Raw genomic sequence first — 25,913 nt, forward strand, 5'->3', positions numbered from 1 at the left:
GTGGCCTGGTGTTCAGGGTAGTGCTCACTCTTGACCACTGGCTGGCTCTTTGATTTTCTGATCTCCAGCTAACTGTGGGGCCTGTCTGCAGTGGATCCCATGCTTCAGGGTGCATAGTGACGTGCCCTTGGCTCTCCCTGACTGCCTTTCCTGCCCTGGCTCCTCAGACATTTCCAGTCACTCCGGTGGGCTCCTACCACCCACATCCCTGATGTCCTCTCCTGCAAACCTGCCTCTGCCTCAGGGCCTCTGAGGCCCCAAGAGTCCTGCCTGGGGGACCCCAGGAAGGGACGCTCAGGAGGACTCTTCCCTTTGCTCTGGAGCCTGTTTCAGGAAAAAGTGGTGCTTGCTCTATTTCCCTCTGTTCTGGTTCCTCTGCTGCGTTTTTTCCAAGTCTTCTTCACTCTCTGTGCTCGGACTCCCCCAGCCTTGCTCTTCTGTTTTACATTCCTGTTCTCCTCTTTTTCTCTCTCCTTCCCAACCCTTCCCCTTTCCCCTTTTCCTTCCTTCCCTGTGTGACTTGGGGCATTTGCATCTTCCTGGTGCTCCTTGGGCCCTGCCCTTTTTCCCTCTCCCCTTTCCTCTCCAACCCTGCCTATCCCCCACTCTGCTCACCCTTTAACACATCTGTTTCTAATCTGAGCCTCGGAGGCGCCTGTTTGAAACAACAACAAAAAACCCCCACCCTCAGGAACCTGGCACAAAAATTCCTGGATAAACCTTCCCTCCACCAATTCTCCACTTTTCCCAGATACACCAGAAACTAAACACCGCCCTAAAGAGGACCCTGCACATCAAACGGTTCCCCAAGCCTGTTCAAGGGCCCAGATGTGCGAGACAATCTCGATGGCCGACTGGGCGGCCCTCGGTTGCCAGATGTGCTCCTCCGTGGCCAGGAGGCAGGGACTGAAAAGCCGGCTGACTCCAGGGGCTGCAGGGACACCCGGTCAGAACCGGCGTCTTTCCCGGACGCAGGGCTGCGTTTGCCCACGGCCATCCAAACTCCCGCCCTCCCAGAGGCACTCACCTAGCAAGAGGAGAAGGAGGAGGGACATCCCGATCCCCGGACGCGGGCGCTTCCCCGCTCAGCTGCTGCTTGGCTCCGGGGCGGCCGGGCGCCTCCGACGGACCTCGGGCGAGCTGGGCGCGGCGCCTCGGGGTGCGCGCGAGGTGGCTGCAGCCATGTGCCGGGCGGGAGCCGGCCCCGCGCCCCGTGCCCCTGGGGGCAGATGGGCTCCCGGCGCTCGCCCCACCAGCTGGCGCCCGGACGGGAGCCGGGACCAGGGTCAGGGAGGAAAACGCGAGGCGAAAAGGCGCTACCGCTTCGTGGAACACTTTTCCCTGTTTGGAAAGAAAAAGGAGTGAAGAAAGAGAGAGGGAAAAAAAAAATTCAGCTGGAACCACATGGTTGCCTCCTACCGCAGCCCCTCCCTCTCTCTCTCGCTGTTCCCTCCTTCCCTCCCTCCCTCCCGCGCGGCGTTTGGGGTTTGCGGTGGGGGCCGGTCGGGGAGAAGCGTGAGCTGGCCGGGCAGGGAGGGCCGGGGGAGACCTGGGGCCGTGCAGAGGCGGGTGGGTTGAGAGGCGCCGGGCGTAGGATTGATTCTTTGCAGGAGGCATTGGTGACACCTCGGCTGAGAGCCCATGGACGAGGCCTTGTCCGTTCCTAGAGCTCTGCTCTCACTTGGTCCTTCTCTCCACTTCTCTCTCGCTTCTTTTTTACTCTCGTTTCTCTCTGCTTCCACGTCTCTCACAAATCTGGCGTTTCTCTCTTCCATCTCTTCCTCTCTAGGTCTCCTTGTTCGCATTCTTGCCTCTCCCTCCTCGTCTCCTCATGCCCTCTCCCCTCTGTCCTCTGCGCTCTTCTCGCCTCTCCTCTCCCTCCCCGTCTGGTTCTGTTAGTGTAAAGCCACCAGACTGACCAGGCCGACGGCGGGGCGCGGAAGTGGGTGCGAAGGCAGCCAGCGGCCGGCCGACCAGGGCTCTCCCCACCGACTGCCTGCTTTGGCACCCGGCTACCCCCCTTGGCCTGGCTTTCCTGGGGCCTTTCGCGTTCGCTCGCTTTCTACTGTCGGTATTTGCAGCAGCGCTCCCTCAGGTCCCGAGCAGAGCTAAGCCAGCCAGCACCCAGGGGAAGGGGACCCACAGCCCCGTGGAAAGAGGTCTATCGAGATGCTTTGCAGCAAAGTGCTCTGCACGTGGCCCTGGCCAAAATGTGCACCACCCCCTTTCAGAAAGAACATAAGGCAGAGGGAGCAGAATCCCCCTGGTGCCAGGGCCTGCGCGCCCGGGCTCCGGGAACCCGGCCCAGGAGGCTCGCGGAGGGCAGGAGGCTGGCGGCCGGACGGGGGCGGACGGTGGGTTCCGCGGAGCCGAGCAGCCCCGCCCCAGGGTCGGCCCCTGGGAGTCTGCCCTTCACTACCCTGCTGCTCAGCGGCAGCGGGAGGCAGCGAGACTAAGAAAGGGCAGTGAGGGTGGCGCTCAGACCTCAGCTGCCTGGACCTCCTGCCCTGACCTTGTGCCCAGGGCCTCTCAGAAACTCTGGTCCCAGTCTCTGAATGTCCCTGGAGGGCTTCTCCCTCAGCTGCCCAGAGGCATGATGACGCAATCGCTCACCTTCGGCCTCGCCAGAGCCCAGGTTGGAAGCCGGGGCCAGCGCTCTTGAGAAGAAAGATGAACCCCGCCGGGGCCGGTGGGCTGCCGAGTCACACATTTGCAATGAAATGCAAATGTGTAATGAAAACCCGTCCCATTTCGCAGACTAGGAAAGCAAAGGCCTGGAGAGGTTATGGAAGTTTCACAAGGTCACTCAGAGGACTTGCAAAAGCTGGGGCTGTTCCTAGGGCTCGCGGATCAGCTGGAGCATTGCTTTAGAATTGCAGCATTTCTCCACTCACTCCCTCACCCCTTCGATACCGATGTGTTAGCATCCACACTATGCCAGGTGCTTTTTTAGGTGTGAGGACACAAAGTGAGTAGAACTTGGAAGTTGACATTTAAAAAAACCTGGGAGGAGTATGTCATGAACACCAAGTATGGACCCAGAATCATATTATATTATTACGTGGTTTTTATTGGGTCATATTATTGACCTTTTTATATCATTCTTATTATACTGCTAAGGGATAGTCACTGAAAAAAAAATCACCATCCCTTAGCATGAATAGGAAGACAAGGAAACTATAACTTAGAGAGGCCTAAATATCTTGCCCCAGATCACAATAGAATTAAAATGCTTCTATTCCAATATTAATATTCTAATATTTAAAAATATTATTTTTTATATTGAGAAGTGTTTAAAAGGTCTCTTTGACTCCGAAGTAACTTTATTTTCCATTTCATACTAATTGTCTAATAGGGGAAATAGATACATTCACAACTATAATTTGTAAATGAATATGTTGAAAAAACCGTCTTTTTTCTTTTCTTTTTTTTTTTTTGAGACAGAGCCTCACTCTGTCACCCAGGTTCACTGCAACCTCTGCCTCCTGGGTGCAAGTGATCCTCCCACCTCATCCTTCCAAGTAGCTGAGACTACAGGCTCACACCATCATGCCCGGCTAATATTTGTATTTTTGGTAGAGATTGGGTTTCGCTGTATTGCCCAGGCTGGTCTCAAACTCCTGGGCTCAAGCAGTTCACCTGACTCGAACTCCCAAAATGCTGGGATTACGGGCATGAGCCACCATCCCCAGCCAAAAACAGTAATTCTTAAAGGCTGGAGAAGGTGGCAGAAAAACTACATACAGAAGGTAACTCTTTTGTTGTTTCTGCTTTATAATTAAAAAAAAAATTGACATTTTGGGCTTACAAAAAAGTTGAAAATAGTACAAAAATTCTTCACCCAGATTCCCCCTTTTTATTTCTCTCTAGAGGTGGGGTTTTTGCACAAGTTTTAAAGCCTCACCTCCACCCCACCGCTGCTGGTGGCCTTTCTCAAGAACTTAGTAATGCCAGTGCTGTTTATTGCTTGAGGGCTGGTGTGCGCATGAAGACAGATGTGTGTGGGTGTAGGCAGATATGTGTTTAAACCCAGTTGCTCAAGCCGAAGGTAACAGGCGCCTTTGGCTCTAGGTCATTAGTCACCAGCACAGGAAATGATTAGACTGAGATTGGGTCACAAGCACTCAATTTTCCCAGCCCCAAGTCTTGTAGCCAATATGGCACATATTTTTTGGAAGAGGATCTTTGGGTCCCTGAAGGTGTCTGTCTCTAAATCTGAAACCTCTTTTCTATTGGCATGGGTCTCTGGGCAGGAAGAGCAGAGAGAGAGTGCTTCTGCGATGGTTTGTAACTCACATCCCATCCCTACCAGTGCTGGGCCCCACTCTGGGCTGGGTGCCTCGGAGGATCCCAAGATTACGAGATAGTCCTTACCCTGAATGGACGGACCTCTCAGTTCAGAGGGAGAAAAAACACCAACATGGGAAATGTTTCAACAACAATACAAGAAAGTTAGATAGTTAAATGCCACAGTAAATTATCCTGACAATAAAAAACAGTGGGAATTCCAAGAAAGGAAAGAGCACCTTAGGCTGGGGTAATTGCGGAGGAGAGCAATGATGGAACCAGCCCTTGGGGGATGAACAGAATGTCATTAGAAGAGATGAGCTGGGGAGAGCCATGAGTGGGGGCATTCCTGGACAAAGACATGGAGTTAGGAATAGCTTTGGCATATTGAGGGGCCTTGAATGAAATGAAATGCTTGAAATAAAAATTGTTGTTGAAGCAAAATGCCCTGGGGGGCAAAACTGTGACAAGTTCCAAATGTGAGGAAAAGGATTCTAGAACTCGTTCTGCAGTGTTCTTCCAGGCTCTTTGAAACAAATTTAAGAAAAATCACCTTGATGAGAGCCTTATTTTAGGAAGTGGAAATTGGCAGCTTCTGCCCAGAGGTGACTACAACAGTTGGCCAGGGTGGAGAACTTTTGCGACCCTTTCATATCTGTCAAGCTACCTTTGTCTCAATATTTTGTAGAGTGATATACATATGCAGATTCAAGACACTTCCCTTGTCCTTCCCAATTTCTGGGGAGCCAAAGAGTACCACCCTAAACCTCTCCTTTACAGGAATTCTAGAGCTATCAACGGGAGTGTATGACGCACTGGAGAAGAAACCTGAAGGACAGGGACTGTTTAGGACCTATTGTATTAAATAGGCAGATAAGATGAGGGTAGTGAAACAGTGTAGAAGACATTGGGAAGAAAGATTTGACAGGGTTAAGTACATAACAATCAATGTGGGTGAAAAGAGTGGAAGAGAAAAGAGGCACCGAATCTGAGTATAAATGACTGAATACATTGTTACATATGCCAAGATTGATACCGACCATTTATCTACCTCCTGGTATATTCCAGAGATTATAAGCATGATTAACAGGTATCACAATATCATACCACAATGAAGAAACTAAGGTTAAGGTTTAGCAAGATTAAATAAATTGCATATCATCCCATGGTTAGTAAATGATTGAAGCAGGATATAAAGTCAGGAGATTCAAAGCTTTTACACCTCACTGTCTTTTGAATAGTACTGCTGACAAACTAGGGAAGTTGGGTAAGTTAACTTGTCAGGAATGGAAGGATAAGTTACCCAATTACGTGGAGACATAGTAACTGAAGAGCTGATAAATCATCATCCATCCATCCATCCCTCCATCCATCTTTCTATTCTTTCTTTCAATCAATAATACAGCAAATCTTTGTTAAACACCTACTATATGCCAAACACTGGAAAATCAATGGTGAACAAAGGAAAAGTTGTCCTTGTCCTGCAGAAGCTTCTGGTGAGTTAAGGGAAATGAACAACCAATAAGCAATTACAACATGGAGTGAGATATGCTCTGCTCAGAGAAGAGCAGAGTGCTATGGAGATCACAGCAGGACCTTACACCTAGCGTAGGAGATGCCAAAAAGACATCCTGGGAGAAAAGTGCTGTGAACTGAGGGGGAGATGGAGACCTGTGCTCTTCTCTCATCTCATACCTGGGAACCATGGACCGTATCTTTTTTTTTTTTTTTTTGAGACAGAGTTTTGCTTTGTTGCCTAGGCTGGAGTGCAGTGGCACAATCTCGGCTCACTGCAACCTCTGCTTGCTGGGTTCAAGCAATTCTTGTGCCTCAGCTGCTTGAGTAGCTGGGATTACAGGTGCCTGCCACCATGCCCGGCTGATTTTTTTGTATTTTAGTAGAGACGGGGTTTCACCATGTTGCCCAGGCTGGTCTTGAACTCCTGAGCTCAGGCAATCCGCCTGTCTCGGTCTCCCAAAGTGCTAGGATTACAGGCATGAGCCACTGAGCCTGGCTGTGGTCCATGTCTTTTAATCTTTTTGAGGTCCAGAATCCACCTTTTGAGGTCCAGACCCATCCTTACAGATGATGATACAAGCTCATGAGGACACTTAGGAGAAGGCAGCTGTGGAATGATGGAAAGAGTTCCGGGTGAAAAGGCAGAAAGTCTGGGTTTCCAGTAGTTCTGAATAGGTCCCTTGACTTCACTGAGCCTTTCTTTCTTCTGAGCCCAATACTGGTGGGAGGAAGAAATGGAATTATAATATGATGGAGGCGCCTGCTGCAGTGTCTCGCACATAGGAGGCTCAGTAAATATTTGTTCCAACTAAAACTAAAGTTGAGTTCATAGGATTCCATTCCCTGCAGTAAAAGAGCCAATTTCTGTCTCATTTCCTTTTTTCTATTAAAACAAGGTTATCTTTATATATTCTTTCCTGTCCTGCAAGGACGCTTCTTGGCTTGGCTATTCAGTGTGTTATTTCTCCTATGGCTGGACAGTAAGAGGCCCCAGCTGGCTTTCAGGGTCTTGACTGGACAACTTTTTTTAAGACTGTGGCTGAGAACCCTGTGTGCTAATAGAGGGTAAGGCACACGTTGTACAGTGACAGTCCCAAGCACTGATCTATGTGGTCAGCGGAGGCGGCAGGGACTTTGTGGGGTTGATGTTTCCTGTAGGACATTTGATGGTGAAGAAAAGATCTCAGCCTCTATCTTCCCACCAGCACTCAGGATGCAAAGACCCATCCCTCCAGCCCAGCAGGCCTTCCAGGAGGCCAGTGGGAGAGTAAAGAGTCAAGACAAAAAGCAGAGAAGGTGTCTGTAGCTGCTGCCGAGCCTAAGGCTTTACAGTAGGACGCTGCTGTGTGTACCAGCTTCATGCCTGGCATCAGCTAGGTCTGGGCTTTTCCAGGTTCTCCCACATGCTACTTTTAATTCCTGCTAAAGTTACACCGGCAGAGGTGGTTCTGGAGGAAGACAGGCTGATTTTGAATTCTGGCCACTCTCCTGACTGTGCCTAACTTGGGTGTATTTCTTAACCTCAGCCTACGTTATTTCATCTGTAAGATTTCTCATATGGTCGTTGAGAAGATAACAGGAGACTATATAAAGAAAACACCTAGTAATCTCAGCACTTTAGGAGGCCAAGACGGGTGGATCACAAGGTCAGGAGATTGAGACCATCCTGGCGAACACGGTGAAACCCCATCTCTACTAGAAATACAAAAAATTAGCCAAGCGTGTGGGCATGCGCCTGTAATCTCAGCTACTCAGGAGGCCGAGGCAGGAGACTCGCTTGAACCCGGGAGGCGGAGGTTGCAGTGAGCCGAGATCGCACCACTGCACTCCAGCCTGGGCGACAGAGCGAGACTCCATCTCAAAAAAAAAAAAAAAAGGAAAGAAGGAAAGCACCTAGTATAGGGGGGCAGGCACATTGCTGCTCAGCAAGTGATGCCCTTCTCTCTTCCCCCTTAATTAATGCAACAAAATATGCCGTGACTCCAGGATACATTGTAACTGGATCTTCAGGGGTCCTTTCCCCTCTCAGAGAAAGGGGACGATAGCATCTCCTTCCTTTAGGTGGGGAATTGAGGTCTAGTGACTTCCTTAGAAACACACAGCAAAAGGAGTAGTAAAAAGTGTTTTCATGCTCTCTCCTCCTTCACATCAGTCCCCAACTCTGGGTTGAGATCAAAAGCAGGCTTTTGTTTGGCTAATGATGCTCAGAATTACCCACTAGACAAGCTGTCTTCATAAGGGAGCCAAATGAGACAGGAATAAGAACAGGAAATACATTTCAGATTGTTAGATTGAAGGGGATATCAGAGACATCCGATCTAACCTCCATATTTTACAGAAAAGGACACAAGTGCAGAGAGGAATGGCAACGTGTCTAGGGCCACCTAGCTAGTTGGTAGCACAAAAGGTATAAGAACCCCAGCCTGACTCTTCGTTCAGCGCTCTTGCCACTGTCTTGTGCTGACCTGCTGTGATCCTGAGCAACCTCTCCCCGAAGGAAGAAGCCATCAGGCTGGTGACCAGATGTATGCCTGGCTTCATTCTCTAGCCAGACACCTTGTGATTTTTCTGAAAACCCAGCAGCATGTTTCCCTTTGTTGACATGTAAGCACGTGGTAGAAAACACAGACCACCAAACCACAGACAGGAATCTTCCTATCTTCCTCCCAGCTGGACAAGGGCAGCTAGCTGTCCTCGGCTAGCATAAGCACTCATGTACTTTTCATTCATTCAGCCTCAAAAATGTGTCTCCAGCCTGTAAGCCTGCATTTGTTCCACCTCTGTGCAGCTGCTGTGTCCACTATCAAGCTGGGCAGGACCTTAGAGTTCCTTTTGGTGTAACTTCCTCACTTTGTAGACTGAATCCCAGCCAGGAGATGTGCTATCTCTGGGTCAAACTCAAGTTAGAGACAGAGTCAAGCTGGAAACCAGGTTGCCTAGCGACCAGCTCCATTCTCCTTCTAGAGTGTGGAAGATTACCACACAGAGTGACCCTGCCTCTTCCTAAAAGGTCAGGAATGAGAATAAAAAAACTCATGGTGTCCGCTGGCAGAAACAGGTGGGACAGGGCCCAGGGAAGAGCTGGTTTTTATTGTTGTTGTTGTTGTTTTAGTATTGGATGAGACTCAGTAAAAGCCATAAAATAAAACTAAGAAGAATCTATGCGAGGCCTCATTATGCCACTGGTGTCCTGCCTGCGGGGAACTCATTTATTTTGTGGCTGAGATGCTGGGAGCTGTCAGCAGCTGCTTGCAGCTGCTCAGTGAAAAGACTGATGGCAGCCATGGCCAGGCTGAGGAGATGGGAGGGGAGGAGAAGCATCCCCCGTCTTCCCACCTACCACAGGCACACACACAGATGCGTGACATACACTCAGAACAGTCTTGCAGCCTCTTGCATTGATGTGCACCTTTCCGGATGACACTGTCCCAGGAAGTGGAGTGGGGGATATGCCAGCCATGGCCTGAAACCAGTGTCCAAGAGGCAGTGGAGGATGCTGGATAGAGCATGAGGTTCGACATCAGGAGACCAGGATGGAACCTCTCCCTTACTGTCACCTACTGAGTCAGCTTGAATAAATGATGAACCTCTCTGTGTCTCAGTTATGTATCTGGAGAAAATAGGTAAGCTAGTGCTTTGTCAACTAAGGTTCTTTATGAATGTGAGGTAAGCATGATAAAGGAGTGTAGATTGCAGGAACTGGCAGGACCTGACTTGAGTCGGACATGCTTCTCTGTACCCCGTGTTGTAGAGAATCAATCCATTTCAAACTGGTGTGGAGCCCCATGACAGACACAGCAGACACAGAGGGAACAGGAGCTGGGCCCAAGACTCGTGGTGGGGCCTCTCCCCTGACTTCCTGGAGGATGAGCCCAGCACAAAGACAGATCCGAAAGACACTGTTCACTGGCTCACTCAGCCCTGTTCCTAATACCCTCTCTTGCCTACCTCCACCATAGAAGCTAAAAGGTCAAACATCTGCTTTCCAGGCCTCCTTTGCTCCCAGGGAAGGACATGTGACAGGATTCTAGCCAACGAGTCTTATCAATGGATAGGAGAAGTCAGCTAGGGAGCTTTGGGGAAATATTTGCTTTATACTTTGTGCAAACCAGAACTGGGTTTAGTCCGTAAAGGATAATTTTCTTAGGATATATAATGCACTCTTAAATAACCATAAATCTAAGACAAAACACAGCCATTGCCCTGATAAAGGCACAGGTGAAGAGCTATTGAATTTCAAGGGTGACTATTTCTTCCTATGTAGCGATCAGGGACTGCTTCATGGAGGAGGGGGCATTCGAGGTTGATACGACTTGAATACCCAAGGCTGAGAGATTCGGACATGATTCCCAGTCCCAATCTCAGATGCCCTGAGCTCCTTCACTCTTCCAAACCACATTATGGGGAATCTGATGATTCTTGCCAGGTGATGTAATAGCTCTGGTGATGATCAGATATCATCCCGCCTCTTAATGACAGAGCACCATCTTCTGAAGCCCTTTAAAGATACAGTCTAGCTCATGCCTCTGAAGTGAGCAGAGATGGATAAAGAAGCCACCTCATAGACACAAAGGAACTTCTCAAAGTTCCAGAATTGTTTGAGAAGAGAACCTGCCGATCCTCTCAGCCATGTAATCCTTCTTGGAACACTCCCTCATCTTCACCCACGTAGACTTGCACACCTACCCTCCAGATGTGGTGGGAGACGCCTTTATGTAACATGAATCTGTATGATGAATTCTTGCTCATATTGAAGACATGAAATTCCTATGAATAGGACATGTACTTTGAGTTCATTATCCCTAAAAGCAAGTCATGGATATGCTTAAGTTATCTGAGTGCTTTCCCTGGAAGACCAGTGGAATGCTTCGGTGAGATTTGTGGCTGGGGTTGGGGCTGGCATGTAGAGTAGAAGCTAACCTGGTTTCACTAGGACTAGTTTCTTTTTCTTTCTTTATTTTTTTTCTTTTCTTTTTTTTTTTTTTTCGAGACAGAGTCTCACTCTGTCACCCAGGCTGGAGTGCAGTGGCACGATTTTGGCACACTGCAACCTCCGCCTCCTGGGTTCAAGCAATTCTCCTGTCTCAGCCTCCAAAGTAGCTGGTACTACAGGTGCACGCCACCACACCTGGATAATTTTTTTTTTATTTTTAGTAAAGACGGGGTTTACCATATTGGTTAGGCTGGTCTTGAACTCCTGACTTCAGTAATCCACCGGCCTTGGCCTCCCAAAATACTGGGATTACAGGTGTGAGCCACCATGCCCGGCCCACTAGGACTATTTTCTAACTGATCTGAATGAACCAACTTGGATAACCTCATGTTTAAAAAACATTCATTTATATACCCACCAGGATTGTATATATATATATCTATATATAGAGAGAGAGAGAGAGTAACAAATGTTAGCAAGGCTGTGGAAAATCTAGGACCTTTGTGTACCTTTGGTGGAAATGTAGAATGTGTAGGCACTGTGAAAAACAGTAGTACAGGGATTCCTTAAAATATTTTTTTTTTGAGATGGAGTTTCACTCTTGTTGCCCAGGCTGGAGTGCAATGGCACGATCTCAGCTCACCGCAACCTCTGCCTCCCAGGTTCCAGCGATTCTCGTGCCTCAGCCTCCCTAGTAGCTGGGATTATAGGCATATGCCACCACGCCCGGCTAATTTTGTATTTTTAGTACAGACGGGGGTTTCTCCATGTTGGTCAGGCTGGTCTCGAACTCCCGACCTCAGGTGATCCGCCTGCCTTGGCCTCCCAAAGTGCTGGGATTACAGGCGTGAGCCACCGTGCCCGGCCTGCATTCCTTAAAATATTAAAAATAGAATTACTGTATGAGTCAACAATTCTATATTTTGGTATATACCCAAAAGAATTGAAATCAGGGTCCCAAAGAAACATGTGTACATCCGTGTATATTGCAGCACTATTCGCAATAGCCAAAAGGTGGAGGCAATCCAAGTGACCGTATACTGATAAATGAATAGCCAACATGTGGTATGTCTTTACAATTGGATATTCTCAGCCTTAAAAAGGAAGAAAATTCTGATATATGCTACAGCATGGCTGAACTTTGAAGACGTTATACTAAGTGACATTACCCAGTCACAAAAGGACAAATACTGTATAATTCCACTTATATGAGTTACCCAGAGTAGTCAAATTCATAGAGTAGAATGATGGTTTCCAGGGGCTGAGTGGAGGGGCTTGGGGAGTTATTATTGAAAGAGTACAGCATTTCAGTTTGAGAAGATGAAGAAGTTCTAGAGAGATGGCGGTGACAGTTGCACAGTAATGAATGTACTTCATGCCTGTCAACTATACATTTAAAAATGATTAAACTGTGGCTGGGGAAGGTGGCTCACACCTGTAATCCCAGCGCTTTGGGAGGTCGAGGCGGGCAGATTATGAGGTCAGGAGTTGGAGACCAGCCTGGCCAACATGGTGAAACCCGTCTTACTAAAAACACAGAAATTAGCAGGATGTAGTGTGTGCCTGGATTTCCAGCTACTGGGGAGGCTGAGGCAGAGAATTGCTTGAACCTGGGAGGCAGATGTTGCAGTGAGCTGAGATTGCGTCACTGCACTCCAGCCTGGGCGACAGAGTGTGACTCCATCTCGAAAAAAATTATTAAAGAAATGATTAAAGTGGTAAATTTTACATCATGTGTATTTTACCACAAAAAATTATCTACAACATCACTTTATTTTAGAAAAAAAACTGTTTCTAAACTGTCCAGCTCAGATGTGATCTCTTTTATATTTTGGGGGATTATCATAATAGAATTAAAAGAGCTAGATTTACAGTCAGAAAACCCAGTTTCAAATCTCAGTTCTGTTGCCTGTTGGCTGTTTGATCTTGTTCTTATTGAACTTCATTTTCCTTGTCTTTGGTCAAATATTATGAAACCTATTTTTACTCCTTCACCAGGCGGATGTGAAGATCCAATTAGATAATTTATGTGAATGTGCTTAGCAAACCACAGAACACTAAACAAATATAGAAATTTTTTCGAGAAGATAATGAGGTTCTCTCTGGGACCTATTGTAATATTTTCCAGCTTTTCTTGCCAAGAAGTTCCTTCTATCACACCTAAATTCCGTCGAATTTATTTCCAAGCTTCAGCCAGCTTGGAAATAGCCTTTCTGTTGGGACATTTCCAAATCCCAGGTTTAGAGGTTCTTCCATCTGGCAGGTGTCAAAGAAGACAACAGGAACCATGAGCAGAACCACTTGGAACTGCAAACTCTTTGGGCCAAGGAGAGACTTCTTCTCCAGGTCTGGTTTGGTTCGCAAATTCCTGGCTGTCATAGCAACCTGAAAAGCAAAGGAAGACTGTTTAGTGTCGTCTTTGACTGCAGCCTGGGCTCGGAATGCGCTCAGGTTGGCCCAGTAAACAGTGTTCACCGGTAACCACTCTGTGTCTCTCCCTCTGGGCCCAGGGATGGGTGAGGCAGGGAGCTCACCAGGCTCAAGTCATCTGGCCGCACAGCTTCTCACCTAGTGTCACTCAGCTCCCCTCTGCTGCTCTGTCTCCCAGTGGCTCTGCCAGATCTAACATGGGGAGGGAATTTCCAGAAGAGGCCTATTGGGAGATGGAGTCAACTCCACAGTGGAAGCAAATGCCTGCCGCCCACATGAAGATGTGTGAAGATGACTTGGGGAGGGGGAGCCGACAGCATTTCCATGGTAACCTCAAGCATCCCTGTGAAGTCATCATTGTGCTCTTCTGACCTATTCAAACCCTGGCAACCAGGGCTGTTTATCTCTAGGGATTGAGTTCAAGATCTAAAAATGTGAAAGACCTAAACTGAAATGAATAGGCACCTCACTTGCTAAGAAGTAGGTCTACAAAGACATGTGATGTCATGTTCATTAATCGTTACATTGATTGTTACAAGATTTTTACACATTTGACAACAATTTACAGGCGAGTTTTTTTCTCATTGCAAGAATTCCTGATTATGCACAGTGATTGCCGAGAAATCATTGTTGGGCCAAATTTCAAAAGTAAAATTATAAAAAATACTGCAGTATTTTTATAGTTAAAAAAAAGGGATTGGGTGTATTTTAATATGCTTAATATGATGTGTGGAGGCTCAAAGGCCCATGAAGTCCTCAAAGTGTCCATGCTTGTTGCTTATAAGTTTGTTTTTTTCCTCCCTCCCCTCTTTTCCCTCCCTCCCTCCCTTCCTTCCTCGTTTCCTTTCTTTCTTCTTTCCTTCTTTCTCTTTCCTACCCTCCCCTAATTTCTCAATCTCTCTCTCTCTCTGTCTGCTTTCCGCCTTCCTACTGAGGTGCACAGTGTCACTGCTGTCTGGGACGGAAGCAGTATGAAATAGACAAGAAACCCTGTGGACTCAGATGGCTGTGTTCTTCCTGTGGGAACTTGGGTACAGTATGAACTCTCTGGTCCTCAGGTTCCTTCTTCACTTGTAAAATGAGGTGATAACAGTTGCTTCCAAGAGTTCTTGTGAAAATTACAGTAGTAAATGCTGGTTATTCTTGTTATTATTACTACTAATAATGATAGCAACCCACATTTCAGTAGTAATCACACACAGACATTCATATGTCCTCTAGCCACTGGAATGTCCCTGTTCTCAGATGTGCAGGAACTGTATCTATTTTTCTAGTTCTTTTTGTGCACAGGTGAGTAGAGTATCCTGTGAAGTCCTCAAAATGTCCATGCTTGTTGCTTATAAGTTTGTTTTTTTCTCCCTCCCCTCTTTTCCCTCCCTCCCTTCCTTCCTCTCTTCCTTTCTTTCTTCTTTCCTTCTTTCTCTTTCCTATCCTCCCCTAATTTCTCAATCTCTCTCTCTCTCTCTCTCTGCTTTCTGCCTTTCTACTGAGGCGCGGTGGCTCACGCCTGTAATCCTAGCATTTTGGGAGCCATGTGAGTGGATCACTTAAGGCCAGGAGTTTGAGACCAACCTGGCCAACATGGAAAAACTCCTTCTCTACAAAAAATACAAAAATTAGCCAGGTGTGGTGGTACATGCCTGTAATCTCAGCTACTCGGGAGGCTGAGGCACGAGAATTGCTTGAACCCAGGAGACAGAGGTTGCAGTGAGTCAAGATCATGCCACTGCACTCCAGCCTCGGTGACAGAGTGAGACTGTGTCTCGAAAAAAAAAAAAAAGAATAAAGAAACATACCCTAACATGGTCTGGTAAAGGAGCTATGAATATAATCAATAACTTCAGTAAGAACAGTGTGGGAGAACTGTCATTAGAGAAGTACACTCATCTTGGGGTCCAGGAGCATGAGGTCACATCTGTCAGGAGTGACCATGGAAGTCTTCACGGAGAAGGTGAAATTGAAATTGGGGCATGGAATGATAGGTACAATTTCTGCTCAAAAGTGATAAGCAGATGGAAGCCCAGTAGACAAAGAAGCTATTAAGGGTTTTTGACATGGGGAGCAACACAGTCAAAGGAAGATTGATTGGATTTACCTGTAAACACCTAAAGGAAAGGAATGGGATTGGAAGTGGGAGAAGGGTTGGGGGAGGGTGGGGAGAAAGGCTGGGGAGGAACTGGAGATGGAAAGTTTATCCGTAAGGCTTTCAGTATTCTAGGTGAGAGGTAAAGAGGCCACGTGCCTAGAAGAAAGAGATGACAAATGTAAATTTTTGAATAGAGGAAAAGATTTTTTTTTTTTATTTATTAGAGAGGGGCATAGGAGATGGTGGAGGATAGAGAGAAGTCAATCATGACTTTGATTTTAAGCCAGGATGACAAGAAGAATTATGGTTCTGGCCAGGCACAGTAAACAGAGCTCTCCCTCCTCTCCATCCCCAACCATCCAATTCTCTTCTCAAAAGGCAATCTCAGCTGGGTGCGGTGGCTCACACCTGTAACCCCAGCACTTTGGGAGGCTGAAGCAGGCGGATGACTTGAGGTCAGGAGTTCGAGACCAGCCTGGCCATAGTGGGTGTCTGAGGCAGAACAGCAGTTTGAACCAAACTTTTAGAGTGGAGATATTCTTCGAGGTCAGACTGGCTGCCTTAGCAACCTGAGACAGCACTGGCCTGCTGCAGGGGTTCCCAGACCTGGCAATGCAGAAGTCACAAGGGGAGTCTCAAAATGACTCTTTCTCCCCACCCCAAGTCAGCTTCATCATATCTGCGGTAGGTCCTGGACATCTGTTTTTAAAGTTTCTCTTCTCCTTCTGGTCTTAGCCATTCGTCTATCAGGGAAGAGGAGCTTTTGTCTGTTCAGAATTGGTCCTGGCTACTGACTGTAAGGCTGATACTATAGGCAAGAACCTAGTGCTCCTGGTTTTCTTCCTTTACTTTTTTTGGAGTTGGGGAAGAAAGAACTATGTGGGAGGCTGGGCCCCAGTCTGGCAGGAGTTGGGCAGAGAGGTAAAGGCAAGAGTCTCTGGCATGGAGCCTTCTGCAGAGAGGTGATGGTGAAGCTCTGGTCATGGGCAAAGGACAGAGCAGAGCAAAAGAAAGTTGGACATGAGCCCCATGCATCCCGCTGTGTCGCGATTCTCTCACACTGCCTCTGTTTTCAGAGAGAACGTGAGAGCAGGGATTCCATGAGAGCAGGGATTCCACGAGAGCAGGGATTTAAAAACAATCTCTCATGGAAAAATTTTAAACCTAAAAGGAAATAGAAAGAATAGTGAAACCTCTGTGTTTCAACTCCTCACTTTGACAATTATCTACACCAGGCTGATCAGTTTCATCTGCTCCATCTTTATCCGGAACCCCCTCGTCAACCTCCATCGTTCTGAAGCAAATGAGGAAAAAATATCAGACTGGCCATTCTGAGCTCCTGTTTTACAGTCCAGCAGCCCCTATGCTGGCAATAAAAATAAGCTCTGAGGATGGGAAGAAGGGATCAAGGAAGACTCATCAGTTTACCTTTAATTCCAATTTTATGTATTTATTATTATTTTTTTTAAATTTAAAGATGGGGATTTCTCTATGTTGCCCAGATTGGCCTTAAACTCCTGGACTCAAGTAATCCTCCCTCCTCAGCAATAGAAAATTTTGGGATTTCAGGCATGAGCTACAATGCCCAGCTTAATTCCTGTCTTTTTTTCTATTTTTTATTTTTTTATTTTTTTTTTCTTTGAGACGGAGTCTCATTCTGTCGCCCAGGCTGGAGCGCAGTGGCGTGATCTCGGCTCACTGCAAGCTCCGCCTCCCAGGTTCACGCCATTCTCCTGCCTCAGCCTCCTGAGTAGCTGGGACTACAGGCGCCCGCCACCACGCCTGGCTAATTTTTTTTGTATTTTTAGTAGAGACGGGGTTTCACTGTGGTCTCGATCTCCTGACGTCGTGATCCGCCTGCCTCGGCCTCCCAAAGTGTTGGGATTACAGGCGTGAGTCACCGCGCCCGACCAATTCCTCTTTTAAACACAAAGAAGCAGTCACTTATTTTGCCCCTTAAAATTGTCACCAAGTCTCCGTGCAACATATGCAGACTCTAACAAAGGGCAATGCAAAAGAAGCTCATCCCTGGATCAGTTAAAAATAAAAGGGCTGCAGTCTGTGCTTCCTAGAGTGTGTTCTGCATCCAGCAGCCTGATCCTAATGATAAACAAATAATATTCTACTCTGGGGGGCGGGTAAAGCTCTGGAGAGCAGAAATATGTGCACGGTTCAAGAGGCTTAGTGCAGTAGGCAGGAGCTGGGAGGCTTGGAGTCTGGGTGGTCTGCAAGTCACAGATTGTGGATGGAGACTGCTCTGGTTCCCCAACCCCCCTTCTCATGGAAATCCCTCTGTTCTGAGTCTGCAGCTCCCCTTCCCCTTGCTCTGCTCCCTTTATTCTGCTCCACTTCCATGCCCAATTATGGAGCAGAAAAACTAGAGGGGCAAAGGAAGGAGGGTGAAGGAAATTTGGAAAAACTCAAGTAGTCATACATATCCTTAAGCCAGTCAAGAAGAGGTGAGGCCGACGGCACTTGGGTGGGAGTGTACGCAAAGGGAAACGGCTGTCGAGAAGTCTGGGCATGACCGTGGCTGGGGAGTGGAGTCTCTGCTCAAGGCATGTCTTCTTTTGATCCCCATCCAAGGATTCCCAGTCCCTAAAGTGCCAAGAGGGCCTCAGCCAAGCGTGGACTCTTTTGTGCCTTTGTCATCGAGGTGTCATAAGCAACGCCACAGAAAGGTGCTAATAGCACAGTGCTTTTCAGACTGGGTTACTTCAGCCTCTTGGATTAGGGGAACTACAGAAGATTTATGGAACACCTTGATGGGATTCAATTTTACCAAAGACTTTTTTTTCAGGGGGGATTGCTATTTTTAGTATTAAAATAATTGTGAGTATATGATGAAATAGAATGTAAAATTTTAATGAATTTATGAAGATAAACACAAGAATTTAAAGACGTGTCCCAATTCTAGTGGCCTATTTAAAGAGGTATTTTCTTTCTCCCGTCCTTAGGAGTATTTGGGGAGAATGTGACGGGAGCTGCCCGATGTTCCCGGGGATCGATGAGCTGTTAGGGTTCTGGGATCTCCGCCCACCTGACTGGTCATCTCTTATTTCCTGTCAGCCCGTGAGGCTGGCTATTTCATGGTCTCCTGGGATGGGCTCACCCTTTCCTTTCTCCAAGCTTTTGTCCAAACAGTCACTTATGTTTGAGACAAGCTATCACCTTCTGACAACCACATCATGTCTCTTCTTCTCTTTACAATGAAATTGAAGGTCATTTTTTTCCCAGGAAGATTTCTCCGACTAAGCTAGGAGAACTGACTCTCCAAAGAGAATCTATAAGAATACCAGGCTGGGATGCCAAAACTACATGCTGATACAAAGCATTTGCAAAGGTTTGTATAAAACTTATTGCACAAAACTGTCAAATGCCTGTCTTATTTAGTAATCATTAAAACCCCATGAATTATACAGGGCAAGGATTATTTATAATTCTCATCTACCAGCCAAGTGATGGAGCATGGCAGAGGTTAAGTAACTTGCCCAAAACCACACAACTAGGAAGTGGTTCTTTTGACTCTCTAAAGAAAAATTATCCAAAACTTGGAAATAAAGGGGGAGAGTGACTGCGTGTTCTCTCAGTGTCACACTGGGGCACTGTTTAAAAACTCTTCTAAAGATTATTTAGTTCTGTAGGCAAAGTCAGCTTCCTGGGCATGCAACCTGTGCCATCATTATCCTAAACTCAGAACCCTGAGTTTAGGGGGGCCCCTCATTTGTTTAATGCTCAGCTGTTGCTGTCTTGAAATTCTCTTTTTTTTTTTTTTTTTTTTTGAGACAGAGTTTCACTCCTGTCTTCCAGGCTGGAGTTCAGTAGCACCATTTCGGCTCACTGCAACCTCGGCCTCCCAGATTCAAGTGATTCTCCTGCCTCAGCCTCCCAAGTAGCTGGGGTTACAGGCGTCTGCTACCACACCCGGCTAATTTTTGTATTTTTAGTAGAGACGGGGTTTCACCAATGTTTGCCAGGCTAGTCTTGAACTCCTGACCTCAAGTGATCTCTCTGCCAGAGCCTCCCAAAGTGCTAGAATTACAGGCATGAGCCACCATGCCCGACCTAAATTCTTCAAAATTTTTGAACAAAGGCCTCTGAATTTTTTTTGCACTGGGTCCAGCAAATTGTGTAGTTGATTCTGTCTCCAGGATAATAAATATCCCAACTGACCTTGTTATTTGCAATTAAGGGCTCAGCTCTGTGAAGTTGCCTGTTAACCTGTAGATATGGATCCGGTAGGGAAGCAAATGATTTCTGTCCATTAGCAAGTGTAATCTATACTTTTATTGCCCTGTGGAACATTAACTAGATTTGTCCCTGACTTTAAAAAACTTCCTGCGGTGCGCCTTTCCCTACGGGCTATAAAAACCCTGCTTCCTCAATTGCTCTTGGCGTCAGCTTTCCCATCTTACTGATTCCCTTTATGGATTAATAAATTAAATGACATCTTTGACAAGTGCTCATTTTATTCTGGAAGAGAATTATGTTTTTAAGTCTTTTCGGGAAATTATGCTTTGAAAGCTTTGCATTCCAAGCTCCTTCCATCATATTATGCTACTGAAGTCGCACTTTTCTCTTCCATCTGCTGATCGGGAGCCCACGCCGAGTCTGTTTGCGCACTGATGTTTACGCATTTTAGGCACAACTATTATTTTTGCTTGTCTTCTCACTCTTGGTATCCTGTAAATTCTTTTAAAATTGTATTTACTGATTTTTAAAAAGTGGATAATACATCCGCATGGTTCAAATTCAAAAGTTCAAAGGGTATATAGTGAAAATTTCGCTCCCATCACTATCCCAGGCACCCAGTTTTCTTCTCCAAGACAACATGTATGACTTCTACCATTTAATTTTACATATACCTTCAAATATGTGTATATATTCTTTTTGTTTGTTTTTTTCTACAAATAGTAGAACGAATATTCATATCATTGTCCTGCAACTTCCTCCTTTCACTTAACAATATATTCTGGAGGTTATTGAATTTTAGTGCATAAGGAACAAAAAACTGAAAAAAACCTCCCTCATTGTTTTATGGCTATATACTATTCCACTGGATAGGTTTACCATAATTTAACCATTATTTTATTTATGTGTGTGTATGATCTAAATGCCTCAAAGTGGATCTTATTAATAGATATTTAGTTGTTCACTATTGTTTGATATAATGAGCAATGATGCATTGAATAACTGTGTACATATATAGTTTTGCATGTGTGTATATGTATATATATACATATATATATACACACACATATAGATATATACATATATACATGAGATAAATGCCCAGAAATGAAATTGGTTGGTCAAAGAACATATACATTTATAATTTCTGACGTTTTTGAGAAATTACTCTCCAGCAAGGTTGTATCAATTTATTTCCACTTCTGCCGGGAATGTTCCAGAGCCCTTGCCAACACCACAACAGAGTGTATTTTGACATTTTTCAACTTCGAGATGGGAGATGGTATCTCATAGTTTTTACTTGCATTTCTTTAGTTAATAATGAGATGAAGCTTTTAAAATATATTTGAGAATAATTTCTTTTTCTGGGAACTGCCTTTTCATATCCACTGCCAATTTTTCTATTCGCTCACTAGTCTGTGATATAAGTGGTAAATATCATCTTCCCCTAGATTGTCTTTTTTAAAAAATAAAAAACTTTGTTTATGGTGGTTTTACTATGTGGACTTTTGTTTGATGCTGTCGAATTTGTCAATATTTCTTTCTATGGCTTCTAGTTTTCTGTCAGAGTTAGAAAGGTTTTCCCCAACTGGGATGATGAGAAAGAACCCTCCCAGGTTTCTTTTGGTAAGTTTATGGTCCCATGTTTCACATATAAATCTTTGATTCATTTGGAGTTTATTCTGGTGTTAGATACAAAATATGATTTCAACTTTATTTTTTCCCAAATGGTTCCCATATTGTCCCTAAGCTGTCTATAAAATAATCTTTTTCCACAGATTGGAGATCTCAGCTTGATTATTCACTAATTTGCCATATGTACTTGTGTTTGTTTTTTAAGTTTTCTCCCCATGCCATGATCTGTCTGTTTATTGCATGAGTACTGTATGATTTATGTTAATGTAACTTTAGAATATATTTAGTATCTGGTAAGGCAAGTGCTCTCCTTATTATATTTCTTTTCCTTTTTTTTTTTTCTTTTTGAGATGGAGTCTCGCTGTGTCACCCAGGCTGGAGTACAATGGCGCTGATCTCAGCTCACTGCAACCTCCGCCTCCTGAGTTCAAGGAATTTTCCTGCGTTAGCCTCCTAAGTAGCTGGGATTACAGGCGCACACCAACACACCTGGCTAATTTTTGTATTTTTAGTAGAGATAGGGTTTTGCCATGTTGGCCAGGCTGGTCTTGAACTCCTGACCTCAGGTGATCTGCCCACCTCGGCCTCCCAGAGTGTTGGGATTACAGGTGTGAGCCACCACGTCCCGCCCCTATTATATTTCTTTTAAAACATTTCCAGGACAAAACTTAATGTTTCTTTTTCCATGTCAACTCTAGAATCAGCTTGACTAGTTAAAACAAAACAAAACAAAAAACAAATTGATATTTCATTGAGAGTGCATTGCATTTATGGATATGTTGGGGAGAATTGGCTTCCTAATAATGCTACACTTGGCTACCAGAAATCATGATAAGCCTTTCCATTTAATCAAGTTTCCCATCTAGTTTAGTGGCAGCATTTTAATATTTTGATCATCTTGCATAACTCTTAAGTTTATTACCAGGTATTGTTTGTATAAAATAGATGTTTCCTTTTATCTTTTTGTTGTTTTCATATATGAAAGTTACTGAATTCTGCGTGTAATTGTGTATGAGCCAGCTTATTGAGTTTCCTTGTCCTGTTAACTCTAACACCCCACACAAAGTCCCACACCAAGTTCCTAACATAACTAATTGTTGACTGAGTGACCCTTTATCTGCCGTCTTGGGAGTTGGGGCTGCTGCTGTTTCTTTTTTTTTTTCTTTTTCTTTTTTTTTTTTTTTTTTTTGAGACGGAGTCTTGCTCTGTCGCCCAGGCTGGAGTGCAGTGGCGCGATCTCGGCTCACTGCAACTTCCGCCTCCCGGGTTCTAGCAATTCTCCTGCCCCAGCCTCCCGAGCAGCTGGGACTACAGGCGCACACCGCCACGCCCAGCTAATTTGTGTTTGTATTTTAGTAGAGACAGGGTTTCACCGTGTTGCCAAAGCCGGTCTTGAACTCCTGAGCTCAGGCAATCCACCGACCTCAGCCTCCCGAAGTGTTAGGATTACAGGCGTGAGCCACCACGCCCAGCCGGGGGTTGGGGCTTCTTAAGGTTTCAAGACAGTTAATGCTGAGGGAGAAACAGGAAACACTGATTTCATCTATTGTTCCAGGATAAAGAGTAGATCATTAGCAATTTCTTCGCTCATTCTTAGGGATTTCTTTGAAAGTTGGCTTTTAGTGCCAGTGTTAGGGCTTCTGAATGGCTTGCTGAGATCTGCTCTGTGGTCTCAGGAATGACTTTTTTTTTTTTTTTAACTTAAAAACCTAAAAAAATTACTTTGGGAGTGACTAGGTAAGGGAGGTTATCCTCATCTAACCAGAGATCCAGCCTGAATTTATGCACACCGTGGGGACAGAAGAATTGGGTATGGGAAAGAGCCGCTGTGCAACATTATTGAAGCTCCACGGAAGTTTCACAACAGGGATCCTTTTATGGGGTCAGATAGAGATCATGCTGTCTGTCTGAGATCAGATGGACCCATTAAAAAAACAATATTAAGGCCGGGTGCGGTGGCTCACGCCTGTAATCCCCAGCGCTTTGGGAGGCCGAGGCAGGTGGACCATTTGAGGTCAGAAGCTTGAGACCAGCCTGGCCAACATGGTGAAACCACGTCTCTACTAAAAATACAAAAATTAGCCCATTGTGGTGGCACACGCCTGTAATCGTAGCTACTCAGGAGACTGAGGCTGGAGAATACCTTGAACCCGGAAGGCGGAGGTTGCAGTAAGCTGAGATTGCCCCACTGCACTCCAGCCTGGGTGACACAGGGATACTTTGTCTCAAAAAGAAAAACGAAAACAAATCCACACACACATTTTGGGAGGCCGAGGCAGGAAGATCACCTGAGGTTAGGAGTTTGAAACCAGCCTGGCCGACTTGGTGAAATTCTTTTTTTTTGTTTGTTTTTTTTGAGACAGAGTCTCGCTCTGTCTCCCAGGCTGGAGTGCAGTGGCGCGATCTCGGTTCACTGCAAGCTCTGCCTCCCGGGTTTTACGCCATTCTCCTGCCTTAGCCTCCCAAGTAGCTGGGACTACAGGCGTGCACCACCTACGCCCGGCTAATTTTTTTTGTATTTTTAGTAGAGATGGGGTTTCACCGTATTAGCCAGGATGGTCTCGAACTCCTGACCTTGTGATCCGCCCCCCTCGGCCTCCCAAAGTGCTGGGATTACAGGCGTGAGCCACCATGCCCGGCAACTTGGTGTAATTCTGTCTCTACTAAAAATACAAAAAATTAGCCAGGCGTAGTAGTGGGTGCCTGTAATCCCAGCTACTCACGAAGCTAAGGCAGGAGAATCGCTTGAACCCAGGAGGTGGAGGTTGCAGTGAGCCAAGATCACACTACTGCACTCCAGCTTGGGCGACAGAGGAAGACACCGTCTCAAAAACAAAAACAAAAAACAAAACAAACAACCCCCCCCCCCACCCTCACCCTCCAATATTAGTCATTACTCTGTAAAGGTTCCAGAAAAAGTTTGTTACATCCATTTTGGGTTTTCAATTTAGTATCATTGGAATTCGACTGGAATTCTAAAGGGTTAAAAGAAATCCTAGCATTTGACCTAAATACTCTTAGAAGGCTCTCTCTCTCTCTCTCTCTGGCAATGTTTAACACCTCAGAATGAAAATACATGAGCTCATTGGAATTGCTAGAAAAGGGCACGGCAGTTTTTCACACTTCTTTTGCCAGCAAGATAGCACTTTAATTTGAGCCTGATTTTTTTCTCACCCTGGAGGGGAGATGGGGTTACTCGTTGGGGCTCTGGGGCCTCCATTCTGCCTGCTTCTTTGGTGGGTATTAGCATGAGAAAACACAAGAGTAGTTTGACTTCCTATATTTTTCCAATGTTGCCTGAGAATCTGGGGCTCAAATTGCAGCATCAGGGAGTAAAATTATATGCCAGGGTCTCAAAGCCTTTGTCCATCACTTTCTCTCATCCTTATTCTTTATTAAAAGTCTTGCTAATTAAAAAAAAATCTAAGTTCAAAAGTTCAGATAAACTCCCTTAAGTCTGTGACCTGATTTTCTTCAGCTTGAATCGTGTTAGGTCCTGGATATGGAGTTTTTAGTTCTTCTTTATGATTTTGTTACAGGCATTTGAACCAGAGCAACTTCATTGTGGATAGCGGCTGGGTAAAATGAGGCTGAGACTTCCTGGGCTGCATTCCTAGGAGGTTAGGCATTCTTAGTCACAGGATGAGATAGGAGGTCAGCACAAGATACAGGTCATAAAGACCTTGATGATAAAGTGGGTTGCAGTAATGAAAGCCAGCCAAGACCCAAAACCAAGATGGCCATGAGAGAGACCTCTGGCCATCTTCACTGCTCATTATACGCTAATTATAATGCATTAGCATGCTAAAAGACACTCCCACCAACGCCATGACAGTTTATAGATGCCATGGTAACATCCGGAAGTTACCCTATGTGGTCTAAAAAGGGGAGGAACCCTCAGCTTCAGGAATTGCTCACCCCTTTCCCAGAAAACTCGTGAATAATCCACTCCTTGTTTAGCATATAATCAAGAAATAACTATAAGTATCCTTATAGCTTAAGCTTAAGCTGCTGCTCTGCTTATGGAGTAGCCACTGTTTTATTCCTTTATTTTCTTAATAAACTTGCTTTTGCTTTGCACTGTGGACTTGCCCCGAATTCTTTCTTGCACAAGATCCAAGAACCCTCTCTTGGGGTCTGGATCGGGACCCCTTTCCGGTAACAGTTTCTGGAGACACAGTGCTGTGTCAGATGAGAGCATGACGAGGTGGGTATGTTTTCATCAGCTGATTGCTGCAAAGAAAAACTTGCCAACTAACTGGGTCTGGGTCACTCTCTACTATAGTAGCAGCATAATTGCAATCTGATCGGCTAACCAGAGATTCCTGGTCTGCTTATTTTTCCTGGGTTTATTTGCCTCGGTGCTCTGAGACATCCATGTTATGTCTTTCTGTTTATACTCTTCTTGACCGAAACCTTAGAATATGAAGTAAGACGAAAGAAAGCCAGCTGGAGAAGCTGTCAGTTCAGCAGGTTTGGGCCATGGTCCCAAAAGACACTATTCCCTGAATCATGCCTGGTGTGACCCATTTCCTTCTGTCTGCCTGCTGCTCCATCCTCTGTGCTTGAGGCCCGGCTCTGTCCTCCAGCCAACACCAGGACGACTGGGTGTGTGGACCCTGACCCTTACAACCTGACTCACCACAGCTCTGCAGGGTGCCCTGAGAGCCCACAAGGCTCTGGGTGCTGGGGAGACAAATATTTAAAAGACAGGCACCCTGGCCTTGAGGAACTCTCAGAGGTTTGCCCTCAGCTCCTTTATTTGAAAGAGTGAACTTAACTGGGGCTCCCACCTTTGAGGAAATCTTACCAAGAATTTAAAGAAAGCCTAGA

The 25,913-nt window shown here is 45.8% G+C and overlaps 1 protein-coding gene and 2 long non-coding RNA genes across 4 annotated transcripts in view, besides 2 other annotated features; 1 reads left to right on the forward strand and 2 right to left on the reverse strand.

The window, feature by feature from the left end:
• CLMP (CXADR like cell adhesion molecule) overlaps positions 1 to 1,363 on the reverse strand; it is a 125,377-nt gene extending 124,014 nt beyond the window's left edge. Inside the window, exon 1 of the mRNA NM_024769.5 lies at positions 1,028 to 1,363. Coding sequence (NP_079045.1) covers positions 1,028 to 1,055 — 28 coding nt within the window. The 5' untranslated portion in view covers positions 1,056 to 1,363. The remainder of the gene's footprint in view (positions 1 to 1,027) is intronic.
• LOC105369540 (uncharacterized) lies at positions 10,153 to 13,834 on the forward strand. Its single transcript, XR_948116.2, has 2 exons — positions 10,153 to 10,676; positions 12,737 to 13,834. It is a non-coding gene; the product is annotated as an uncharacterized LOC105369540 (long non-coding RNA).
• Positions 12,900 to 13,899, reverse strand: LOC105369539 (uncharacterized). Of its 2 annotated transcripts, none has more exons than XR_948115.3 (2): positions 13,307 to 13,899; positions 12,900 to 13,123 (listed from the first exon to the last, which is right to left on the reverse strand). It is a non-coding gene; the product is annotated as an uncharacterized LOC105369539 (long non-coding RNA). The 2 variants fall into 2 exon arrangements; XR_948114.3 differs by having other exon boundaries at positions 13,273 to 13,899.
• Positions 22,375 to 23,107: an enhancer, noted in NCBI's record as "OCT4-NANOG-H3K27ac hESC enhancer chr11:123086968-123087700 (GRCh37/hg19 assembly coordinates)". NCBI's record gives its function as "activates a minimal SCP1, AML or CMV promoter by ChIP-STARR-seq in naive H9 embryonic stem cells {active_cell/tissue: H9 hESC(naive)}" and the evidence as "EXISTENCE:reporter gene assay evidence [ECO:0000049][PMID:30033119]".
• Positions 25,161 to 25,661: an enhancer, noted in NCBI's record as "H3K27ac hESC enhancer chr11:123089754-123090254 (GRCh37/hg19 assembly coordinates)". NCBI's record gives its function as "activates a minimal SCP1, AML or CMV promoter by ChIP-STARR-seq in naive H9 embryonic stem cells {active_cell/tissue: H9 hESC(naive)}" and the evidence as "EXISTENCE:reporter gene assay evidence [ECO:0000049][PMID:30033119]".

This window comes from Homo sapiens, chromosome 11 (assembly GCF_000001405.40).
Source record: "Homo sapiens chromosome 11, GRCh38.p14 Primary Assembly".
Lineage (NCBI taxonomy): Eukaryota > Metazoa > Chordata > Mammalia > Primates > Hominidae > Homo > Homo sapiens.